The sequence below is a fragment of the Homo sapiens genome, chromosome 3 (assembly GCF_000001405.40).
Source record: "Homo sapiens chromosome 3, GRCh38.p14 Primary Assembly".
NCBI lineage: Eukaryota > Metazoa > Chordata > Mammalia > Primates > Hominidae > Homo > Homo sapiens.
The window spans coordinates 40,360,124-40,373,414 of NC_000003.12; positions in this window are offsets into that span (position 1 = coordinate 40,360,124).

A 13,291-nucleotide genomic window follows, 5' to 3' on the forward strand; every position below is an offset into this window, starting at 1 on the left:
GTGTGAAAGATGCATAGTTTTACAATAATATGTAGGTACAAGAGGTTCAAAAGAACTGCAGTAGAAGTCTCGGGAGGTTGGAACCAACTAAAGGAAATAGAGATTGTAATGATCTCTTGTAGGGTGGGGGTGGATGCTGAACTGGAGGGCTTACTTCGTCTGAATGAGAGAACCAGGAACCTTGGACTCTGCAGATGTTGGGGATGGAAGAGGGAGGGTTAATGGCAGACATAAAGATCATCATGTTATTCCAGGCTGGGCGCGGTGGCTCATGCCTGTAATCCCAGCACCTTGAAGGGCCAAGGCAGGCGGACCATCTGAGGTCAAGAGTTCAAGACCAGCGTGGCCAACATGACAAAACCCTGTCTACTAAAAATACAAAAATTAGTCAGGCTTGGTGGCGCGTGCTGTAATCCCAGCTACTCGGGAGGCTGAGGCAGGAGAATCGCTTGAATCCGGGAGGCTGGGGTTGCAGTGAGCCAAGATTGTGCCACTGCACTCCAGCTTGGGTGACAGAAGAGATTCCGTCTCCAAAATAAATAAATAAAAATTAAAAATCGTCATGTTATTCCTTTGAAATTTCACTTGTCTCTCTCAAGCATGTCAGCATGTCTTTTTTTTTCTGTCTTTGCTTTTCTTTCTCTTTTTGTCTCTGCCCACCACCTTTTTCCTTCTCTGTTTACTTCTGCCTGAGCTCCCATTCTCTCCCCTTCAGATTTCTTCCTCTATCATTTCCTCACCCCTACCTTGATCCTTGCAACTGAATTAGCATGAGTACTGAGCTAATGAATATATTCTATTAATTGCATGTTTTAGTATCTCAGGTTCCTAATTCTTCTAAAAATTGTGTGAGATGTATTTTATTTTCTGTTTCAAAAAGTGTAATTTAGTTACCACTGACTTTCTAAAGATGCCTGATTGCTTTATTCCCTCTGGACCAGAAGCTCTTGTCAGGATAGAAAAAGGCTGCCAGTCTTTGTCCTGAGCATATCAAACTATATACTTTTCACCTGAGGACTCTGCTTTTTGTTCTCTCAGAAACCTGTGAGCACAGCAGTTCCTGTGGAGTCGCTCCTCAGTGCATGGCAAGCTGCAGTTCTCCTGTCCCTTCATTCCACACATGTTCCCTTCTTTATCCCACCTGTCTATAGATGTCACTGGGGACTTGACTTTATTTCTGGTTATTGCACATCCTGATTTCTCCCCTCACAATTTCCATTATCCATCCATCACGTCCTGAGGGTTTTACTGCTGTGGTCACCTCCCAGCATGTCCACTCACATAGGCCGTGCCGTTGACGAGGAGCGTCGGCGGGGGGAGGTTCCTATGGGGGCAATTTCCTTCTCTTTGGCAGACAAGAGAAGGAAATTGCCGAAAAGAAGGAAAATGCCCCCAGAGAAACCCCTGCCCCACCCCCGACCCTCTTGGTTTCCTTCTCTCTTCCAGTTGTTCAGTTGGAAAAAGTCAAGGAGCCCATTGGATCACATTTCCAGAGCCTTACTGTGAAGAGTCTTTGTTGTTGTTGTTGTTTTAACTATAAAAAGAGTTGTTGAACATCATTGTCTACAGTTCTTTTACACCTTTAATAATCTATTGCATGGACCACAAGCAGGTTGAAAGGTGATTTTTATCTCAGTTCTATAAATACTGGTGAAAGTCTGTGGGCCAGTTGCTTAATTTCACTGGGCCCCGGTAGGAAAGATCACTTCTAGGAAAGCTTCCAGCTCCAGAATGTATGATTCCATCAAGTTCTCCAGTTAGTTGGTATCACAAAAAATAAAGGGCATCTTCCCTGTCTGCCTTACTCCTCCTCTTTATACTTCCTGAGCATAGCCCAGCACTGACACATGGTAGTCACCTATGGCAGACTTTTACAGACTATATGGAACCTGCTTTGTCACGAACATGGCAAATGACATGACCATCATGGAGTTATAAGGACTGGGCTTCTCACACCTCCCTCTGCAATGAAACTGGGCATTAGAGATGCTGTTATTCTTCTCCTCACTCCTTACCTTGGTCTCCTCTATCCACTAAGTATCATGCTTGAGAATGAATCCTGAGAGTCTTGAGGAAAAGTGTTTACCAAGTACTGGATAAAACACATGGTGATTAATAACAAGTTAAGCTGCCCAAAATTTCATCTTGTCTTTATCAATACCTGTAATTGACTTTTAGCTAAACCAGCAGCCAACGTCATCATTAGCTCCAGAAGAAGGGTCTTTTATCAAGTTTAAGGGCACATGATTTGGCTTGTAGTCAGCATACTTCCATTCTAAAAATGGCAGCAAATACGAGAAAAATTAAAATCTAGGACCCACACTTCTAAGAAAGAAAGAGGAGTTATAAGGATTGCAAATTTCTTGATTTTTAATTTAATGATATAATTATTTTTTCCAGAAAAACTTTTATTCAACAGTGGTATGGATTAATGGTTCCAAGGAATTATGACATTCTATTAACTTTCCACAAGAATTACTTCATTGCATTTAGATTAAATTTATTTTATTAGACTGTGAGAACTATGTCTCAGCAGATTTCCTTTTTGCTTCAACCCTTTTGAAATTCTTTATTTTAGTAAAAACAATATAAACAAATCATCTTTGTTTCTTATTATTCACTTGTGCCAAAGATGACTTTTTATTATTATCATGTTTTATCTTTGGAACAACACACAAGAAAAAAAAACTGTTGGTTGCTTTTGCAGAGGGAAACTAGGTGGCAGGAAACAGGGAATAAGGCCAAATTTTTATTGTACCACTTAAATTTTGAAACATGTGAAAAGACTTTCATTGGAAAAAATTAATAATGAAATAATACAGGCACATAATTTAAAAATCAATAGTATTAAAAGACATTTCTCTGCCCCACCTATCATTATTCCCTCTACTTCTTTAGAGGCATCTACTTTCAACTCTTTCATCTGCTTCTCATACTTAGCCTCACATTTCTAAATAGGATGCTCTTATTGCTTCTTCTAAATTTATCAACTTTAGAGAGTGTCTGTTAATTTCCAATTATGACATTGGAAAGTTTAATCCTTTTATACATCATGACAACTTGCTTCCCCTTTGTCATCTTTGCAATCTGGTTGTATCATAGTTTTTTAGTTTAACAAACAGCCAACGTAAGTATCATATACTGGTGAATCAAGTTGGTCTACAATTTTCTTCCTTCCTCTTATGGTTTTCTACTTTCCCTCTGTTTATATTTGCTTAATTTTCTGTGATATTTTTTCAAGTGATTCGATAGATCTGTTACATGTCCAATTTTTTCAAATGCTCAAATGCATACATCACATTTCCCCCAGAATTTTTTTAAGAATTCTGGCTATCCTGAGATTACCAACTCTGGTTATCAACTACAGCACTCAAGGTTACTCACTCCTTTCTTAAGAGCCTCCTTTGTTCACACTAACTTTTCACTGAAACTCTGTTACCAATATCGTTCTACTTGGAAAAAGGTAAATTAAATTCTGTTTCCCCAAGGGACATTTCCTCCTCTCCAGGAGCTGCCAAAACACCGTGACTATTCTTCCTTTGAACTCCCTCTCTTTCTTTAAAAAGTCAGTGAGGGCTCAAGGTATAAATAAGCTTCATTCACTACCAGAACACATATTATTTATTTTATTTTATTTTAATTATACTTTAAGTTCTAGGGTACATGTGCACAGAACACATTTTAATGTAGCAAGCTTGCATATCAGTAGACACGTGTTTGTTTATATGCCAGCATCACAGTGGATGCCAAGTATCAGACATGTTCCCTAATGTCAAAGACTTTACAATCTGGCTCACGTAACACAGGAGTGAAACAGAACTAACAATCAACAGTTCCTTTCTATCTCTGATTAATAGTTCTTCCATACCTTAAATGTATTAATCTTTGTAAAATTATCTATTTTTTGTTCTTTTCTTCTGTCTTTTTACTCTCTTATCCTGTATGCTAGCTATGACACTAATGTCTCACTGCCTAATCATTGTATTTTTATAATTTTTGGAAACTGTCACATTTTGCCTCCAAAGCTGACCTTTCACAAGTTACTTAATCTTTTTGCATCTCATTTCTTCATATGTAAAATGGGGATAATAATGTTACCTTTTAAATTTGTTTTGAGCATTAAATGAGATCAATGTGATGAATTTAGCCCAGTTCCTGACACTTGATAAAATAGTCAATAGATAGTAACTATTGTCTGCATATTGGAATTATTTGTTATTATCATCATTTTACTTGGACATAGGAGGGAATCTTAAAGCAACATTTCACTATCTTCTAATAGCCAGTGTTATTATTAAGAAGTCTGATGCTAATTTCATTTCCATTACTTGTAAGTTACCTTTTCTCTTTCTCTTTCTCTTCCTCACTGCCCTCTCCCTGTCTCTAATTTTCTCTCTCTCTCTTCTCTCCATCATCACTGTTTTAAAAATTCACAATGGCATGTTTTTATTTAGCACTTTTAATCTGGACATTTCTTTTCTCCACTTCTGGAAATTTTCATTCTACTTCTTTGATAATTTCTTCCCTCCATTTTCTCTGCTCTATTTCTGGAATTTCTTAAAACTGCCAGTTTTCTTTTATTTCCATTATTCATGGTCTGATTTATTTTTGGTATTGAGTTCATGCTAATATCTGCAGCTGTCAGTGTAATTACCATTGTCATCTTAGTGTGATGGTTCTAGAGCTTGAAATTTCTATATTTAAAAACAACATTATACTTCACAATTAAAACTAAAAACTTAAGTTAGAAGTGTAGGCTAGCGGCCTACATATCACATCTTTTGACTTTGCTCTGGAGTAATTTTTAAATTACACTATTCAAAGGAATACATTTTGCTCTGTTCTCTTCTCCGTAAAGAGTAATAGCAGAGGAATTTAAAAATGAAAGAACACAAGAAAGGCCTTGAGGATGAAATGTGTTTCATCCATCTCTGAATTTTATCTTCTTTTCATCAGCTGGGCTATAGGATGGACCTAAAAAATTGGAGTTCTCTCTTATCAACATGAAACATAGCTAGCAGTCCTGACTGTATCTAAACCCATCTGAGCTATTTTAAGACCTTTGTAGATCTTCAACATTCTGGTTTTTGAAAGCCCCACTCAGAGTCTTATTAAAACTTTTTTTTTTTTTTTTTGAGACAGAGTCTCGCTCTGTCACCCAGGCTGGAGTGCAGTCGCACAATCTCGGCTCACTGCAAGCTCTGCCTCCTGGGTTCACGCCATTCTCCTGCCTCAGCCTCCCCAGTAGCTGGGACTACAGGAGCCCGCCACCATGCCTGGCTAATTTTTTTGTATTTTTAGTAGAGACAGGGTTTCACTGCGTTAGCCAGGATGGTCTCGATCTCCTGACCTTGTGATCCACCCGCCTCGGCCTCCCAAAGTGCTGAGATTATTAAAACTTTTAAAATGCACTCATATCACAAATAATATTGTCCCAGGCACTGTTCTAAGAACTTGGCATACATTAGTGAACAATACTAAGACCCTTACCCTTGTAAAGCCTTTATTCTATATAATTGATATCCAGCTAAGGAAGAGTCAGGTTGAATTGAGTTGAGTATAATTAAATGGTTGGCATGTTGTGTTAGGTAGACACTTATGTTAATACGTCAGGTTAGTCTAGACTGTACTGAGGGAACAAACAGTCCCCCAAATCCCAGTAGCTTAACATAACACAAGTTTATTTCTGGCTCACGACATGTTCATTATAGTTTAGAAGGGCTCTGCTCCATAGACGTAGTCACTGGGAACCCAGACTTCAGAAGGCATCACTGTCTTGTAGCTGCACCAATGAGTACATACGACCTCTTCAGTCTCCACAACTGGGAAGGAGTAAGATGGAGAGTCATGCATTGACTTTTAAATGTTTCATGCTAAAAGTGACAAAGGCCACTTCCAGTCACACCCAATGGCCAGAACCAGCCACAGGCCCTGCCTAACGGCAAAGAGACGGGAAAATGTGGGAAAGCCCAGGAATATTCATAGGTAGTAAATATCTCCACAATAAAGCTTATTTTAATACTTGTTTATTTCATTCTGAAGTTTTCCTTTGACACTTTAAAGTCAATAAATGTTTTCAAGTCTCAGATGTTTGCAGGAAGAACTCATAGGCCCTAAGCATTGTTCCTACAATTATAATAGTTTGCATTATATTTACTGAAAGGTTATTACATGCAGGCATTGTTTTAGGTGCTTTATATGAGTATGTAAATGTGTTGCTCATTTACTCCTCACAACAATGCTATGACGTAGGTACTGTTCCTACCCTCATTCCACAGCTGAGGAAATAGAGGCACAGAAAGGGTAAGTCACCTGCCCAAGTCACACAACTAGTGAATGACTATGCCTGAACTTGTGCCACCTCATCACACTGCCTTTCAGATGTGAAGGATAAACAGCCTGTGGAACATGCAGCATTTATATTTTCTGCCTGTACCAACACTTATGGTCACAATAATGAAAGAGGAAAGAAAAGAAAGAGGAAAAGCAAAACTTCTGTCCAGTTTGAGACCAGTAGTGAGCAGTTCTCATTTTCCTTTGGGTGTGTTTCTAGGCAGAAGAGTACATAAAGAGACAGGAGAAATAGGAGATAACCTTCTTCCTTGAAAAGCTTGAGATTACAATACCCACTACAGCCTGCATGCTGGAAAAAATGGGATAAAGCAGCTACCTAACCAGTGCTATCCTAATGGAATTTATTTTGCCTTCAAATGAGCATCTAATGTGATTAAAGAATGGAAGTTATTAAACAAACAAGGTTTACCAAGGCATTTCTTTCCAATTTTTGTGTGTGAAACAAATGTAAATGTAGCCAACTGGCTCAAGATGTTGCCTTACCCGAAACCTTGCAATTAGAGATTGTAGAACATTCATGACTCAGCACATCTATTCACAGTGCAGGCTGTTTATTTCTGGTTTTGTATTCAATGTGTCACCAAAAAGTGCAAGCAAGACTCAGCAGCATGCAAGCCTGCACTAACATGCACATGCTCAGTAAACTTAGACTAAGAATCTACACTAGACCAAGAGCACATACTGTGCAATCCCATTCATACAGTGTTCAATAACGGGCACCAACCAAGAATTTCATATCCTGCCAAACTGAACTTTATAAGCAGATGAGAAATAAAAAATTTTCCAGACAAATAAATGCTAAGGTAAGGTAAGGCAAGTGATTGTTACCACTATACCAGCCCAAGAGATCCTTAAGGGAGTTCTAAACGTGGAAACGAAAGAATAACACCTGCTACCATGAGAACACACATAAGTATATAGCCTGCAGACCCTAGAAAGCAACCACACAATAAAAACTACAAAGTAACCAGCTAACAACTTCACAATAGGATCAAACCCATATATTGATATTAACCTTGAAATATGTAACTGGCATAATTGCTCCTACTTGAAAGGCACACAATGGCAAGTTGGATAAAAACAAACAAGACCTATCCATCTGCTATCTTCAAGAGACTCATCTCACACATAATGACACCCATAGGCTCAAAGTAAAAGGTTGGAGAAAAATCTACCATGTAAACAGAAAACAAAAAAGAGTGGGGGTTGCTATTCTTATGTCAGATAAAGCAGACTTTAAACCAACAACAGTAAAAAAAAAAAAAAAAAGGACAAAAGGGCATTACATAACGGTAAAAGGTTCAATTCAACAAGAAGACTTAACTAAATATATATGCACCCACATTAGAGTAGCTAGATTCATGAAACAAGTGTTTCTAGATCTATGAAAAGACTTAGGCACATAATAATAGTGACTTCATAATAATAGTGACTTCAGCACTTCACTGACAGCATTAGACAGATCATCAAGGGAGAAAACTAACAAAGAAATTCTGGACTTAATTTCAACACTTGACTTATTGGACCTAATGGATATCTACAGAATACCCCACCCATCAACCACAGAATATACATTCTTTTCATCTGCACATGGAGCATACCGTAAGATTGACCACACACTTGGACATAAAGCAAGTTTTAATAAATTCAAAAAAATCAAAATCATACCAACCATACTGGACCACAGTGAAATAAAAACAGAAATCAATACCAAGAAGATTTCTCAAAACCACATAATTACATGGAAATTAAACAATCTGCTCCCAAATGACTTTTGGGTAAACAAAATCAAGGCAGAAATTTTAAAAAATCCTTGAAATAAATGAAAACAGAGACACAACATATCAAAATCTCTGGGACGCAGGAAAAGCAGTGTTAAGAGGAAAGCCTGTAGCACTAAATGCCTACCTCAAAAAGTTAGAAAGATCCCAAATTAACAATCTAATATCACACCTAGAGGAACTAGAAAAATAAGAACAAATTAACCCGAAAGCTAGGAGAAGAAAAGAAATAACAAAAATCAGAGCTGAACTGAACAAAGTTGAGACCCAAAAAATTATACTAAGAATCAACAAAACCAAGAGTTGTTTTTTTGTAAGGATAAACAAGATTGATAGACACTAGCTACATAAAAAAGGAAAGGCTCAAATAAGCACAATCAGAAACAGCAAAGGTAACATTACAATTGATTCCCCAGAAACATACAAGATCCTCACAAACTATTATGAACATCTCTACACAAAGAAACTAGGAAGTCTAGAGGACATGGATGAATTCCTGGAAACATACAATCTCCCAAGATTGAATCAGGAAGAAACTGAAACACTGAAAAGACCAATATTGAGTTCTGAAACCAAATCAGTAATTTAAAACAAACCTATCAAACAAAATACCCCCAGACCGAATGGATTCACAGCCAAATTCTAACAGACATACAAAGAAGAGCTGGTACCAATACAACTGAAATTATTTCAAAAAATTGAGAAGGAGGAACTCCTCCCTAACCCATACTATGAAGCCAGCATCATCCTGACATCAAAACTGGGCAAAGACACAAAAACAAAAACAAAAAAACTACAGATCAATATCCCTGATGAACATAGACACAAAAATCCACAACAAAACACTAGCAAACCAAATTCAACAGCATATCAAAAAGTTAGTTAATTCACTATGAACAAGTAAGCTTCACTCCTAGGATACAAGTTTGGCTCCACACATGCAAATCAACAGATGTGACATAAACAGAATTAAAAACAAAAGGCATATATGTTAGTTCCGTTTCACACTGCTGTACAGAACTACCTGAGACTGGGTAATTTATAAAGAAAAAAGGTTTAATTGACTCAGTTCTGCATGGCTAGGGAGACCTCAGGAAACTTACAATCATGGCAGAAGGCTAAGGGGAAGCAAGGCACATCTTTCCAAGGTGAAGCGGCAGACACAGAGTAAGCAAGAGAAGAAGTGCCACACTTTAACACCATCATATCTTGTGAGAACTCACTCACTATCATGAGAACAGCATGAGGGAAACCGGCCCCCATAATCCAATCACCTCCCACCAGGCCCCTCCTCGTGCATGTAGGGATTAAAATTCGAGATGATTTGAGTGGGGACACAGAGCCAAACCATATCACCATATGATCATCTCAATAGACACAGAAAAAGCTTTTGATAAAATCAAGTATCCCTTCATGATAAAAACTAGGCATTGAATGAACATACCTCAAAATAATAAGAGCCATCTACGGCAAACACACAGCCAACATCATACTGAACAGGCAAAAACTGGGAGCATTTCTCTTGAGAACTGGAGCAAGACAAGGATGCCCACATTCATTAATCCTATTCAACATAATTCTGGAAGTCTAGCCTGGGCAATCAGGCAAGAGAAAGAAATAAAAGGCATCCAAATAGGAAAAGAGGAAGTCAAATTATTTCTCTTCACTGATGACATGATTCCATACTTAAGAAACTCTAACTACTCCACCAGAAAGCTATTAGAACTGATAATTTTAGCAAACTTCCAGACTACAAAGCCAATGTACAAAAATCAGTAGCATTTCTATACACCAATAATATTCAAGCTGAGAGCCAGATCAAGAATGCAATCCCATTTACAATAGCCTGAAAAACATAAAATACCTAGGAATACACCTAACCAAGGAGGTGAAAGATCTCTACAAGGAGAACTACAAAACACTGCTGAAAGAAATCACGGACGACACCAACAAATGGAAAAACATTCCATGCTTATGCATTGGAAGAATCAATATCATTAAAATGGCCGTACCGCTCAAAGCAATCTACAAATCTAATGCTATTCCTATCAAGCTACCAACATCATTTTTGGTAAAAATGAAAATTTTCACCAAAGAGAATTTTGGAGAGTTGGAAAAAAAAACTGTGCTAAAATTCATACGGAACCAAAAAAGAGCTCAAATAGCCAAAGCAATTCCAAGCAAAAAGAACAAAGCTGGGGGCATCACATTACCCTACTTCAAGCTATACTATAAAACTACAGTAACCAAAACAGCATGGCACTGGTACAAAAACAGACACATAGACCAATGGAACAGAATAGAGAATTCAGAAATAAAGCCACACACCTACAGCCATCTGATCTTTGACAAAGTTGACAAAAATAAGCAATGGAGAAAGGGCTCCCTATTCAACAAATGGTGCTAGGATAGCTCTCTAGCCATATGCAAAAGAATAAACTGGACCCCTACCTCTCACTATATAAAAAATTAACTCAAAATAGATTAAAGATTTAAATGTAAGACCTCAAACTGCAAGAATCCTAAAAGGAAACCTAGGAAACACCATTCTGGAAATGGGCCTTGGGAAATAATTTATGACTAAGTCCTCAAAAGCAATTGCAACAAAAACAAAAATTGACAAGTGGGATCTAATTAACTAAAGAGTTTCTGCACAGCAAAAGAAACTATCAACAGAGTAAATGGACAACTTATAGAATGGGAGAAAATATTCACAAACTATGCATCAAACAAAGGTCTAATATCCAGAATCTGTAAGGAACTTAAACAATTGAACAAACAGAAAGCAAGTAACCCCATCTTAAACTGGACAAAAGACATGAGCAGATACTTCTCAAAAAAAGACACACAAATGGCCAAAAAACATATGAGAAAACGCTGATCATCACTAATCATTAGATAAATGCAAATGTAAACTACAACGAGATGCCATCTCACACCAGTCAGGATAGCTATTATTCAAAAGTCAAATAACAACAGATGCTGGAAAGACTGTGGAGAAAAAGGAATGCATTTACACTGTCGGTGGAAAGTTGTTTGCAGATTTCTCGAAGAACTAAAAATAGAACTGCCATTTGACCCAGCAATCCCATTACTGGGGATATATCCAAAAACAAAAAATCATTTTACCAAAAAGACACACCTATGTGACAGAGGCAATATTTTTGGAGATAAAATCTGAGAAGTTTTCAAAATTAAGGTATAAATTTTCAGATAAAAAGATCATTCAGCATCCAAAGTGGGAATAAAACAAATTATTAATCCATTATAGTGAAATGAGAGATCAAAAACAATAAGAAAACCTTAAAGACATCCAAAAAGAAAACAGATTATCTCAAATGGAACTGAAATTCGGCTGACAGCACTTATTATCAGCAACAAATAAATGCCAAAAGACAATTTAATATCTTCAAAGTGCTGAAGGGAAATAACTGCCAGTGTTGAAACCTATACCAACTAGATTCTTAGTCAAGAGTGAGAATAAAATAAAATGTACCAGTTGGGGTCGAACCAGATAAGGAGAACCAGTAGGAGATGAGAGAGAGAGAGAGAGAGAGAGAGAGAGAGAGAGAAATTTGTCAGAAATAATTGGTTTACACAACCGTGAAGGCTGGGAAGATCACAAACAGGCTGGAACTTCATGGACAGGTGCTGAAGCTTATTGTCCACAGATGGCAATCAGGAAATCAAGATTCAGGGAGAAGGGAGAGAGCCATTGCAGACTCATAACTGTTCAGAGTCTCCCACACAGGGAATGGCTAGGCCTTCCAAATGATGTCTTCACAGCAGTACCTAAATTAGTTTACTTGAATAGCTGAGAAGTGTATATACTGGAAAATGGCTAGTATCTCTCTTCCATCCTCCAGCTCTTGGAGGAGAATATTCCTTGTAGCCCACCATAACTGGAAACATTCTGTAAAGGAGATTCTGGGGATTGTAGTTCAGTCTAGCCAAGTTGCCTCCCATTGGCAATCCAACCACGAGGCAGTTGGCAAGAGAGCTTAGGTGATGCAACTTGTGGGCCAGAGCAGGGAGAGAAGGGTGGAGAATGTGCACAAAGGACATAGCAGTATTTATGTCTGACAGAAAGGACTTTAAGATCAAAGCATTATTAGGAGTGAAAAGGAGCATTGCTAATGATAAAAGGAGTAGTTCACCAAGAAGATATAACAATACTGGACCTATACAAATCTAACAAAATAAGCTTTGATATTTAAAGGAAACATCACAGGAGTTATAAGGAAACACCCACAAATATACTACCATAGTAGAAGGTTATAACAAAAATCTCCCAGAAAGTGATGGATTCAAATGACAAGAATTTTCTGTCTATAGAAAGTACAAACAACCCAGTAAGTTTCATATAGTGAACATATTTAGAATTCTACTCCCAATAATTAAGAACATACAGTGTAACTGAAAACCATCTAAATGTCCTTCAGCTGGTGAATGGATAAACAAAAAAAGTAAATGAATTGTTGATACATGCAACATGAATGAATCTCAAATGCATTATGCCGAGTGAAAGAAGCCAGACTCAAAGGGTCACATATTATATGATTCCATTTATATAATATCTGAAGGAGGCAAAAATTAAAGGAACAGAAAACAGATCATTGGTTTCCAGGAAGGTAGGGAAGTGGTTGACTACAAAACAGCAGTCCAAGGGAATCTGTTTTGGGGGGGCATTGAAAATGTTCTGCCAGCCCAGGCAACATGGCAAAACCCTGTTTCTACTAAAAATATAAAACAAAACAAAAAATTAGCCAGATGTGGTAGCATGCACCTGTAGTAGTCCCAGCCACTCTGGAGGCTGAGGTGGGAGAATCACCTGAGTCCTGGAAGTCAAGGCTGCAGTGAGCCAAGATTGTACCACTACACTCCAGCCTGCGTCACAGGTGTGAGACCCCAAGAAAGAAAGGAAGGGAAGGGGAAGGGGAAGAGAAAGAAAGAAAAGGTTCTGTATCTTGATTGTGGTGGTGGGGTGGTGGTTACATGACTCTCTGCATCTGCAAAAACTCACAGGACTGTACACCAAAAAACAGGGAAGTTTTCTGCATACAAACACGTTTTTAAATTAAATGTTAAAAAGTCTTTTCAAGCTCAATAAAATAACTACAAAATTGACCGAGAACAGGATCACAAAGAATGTCTTA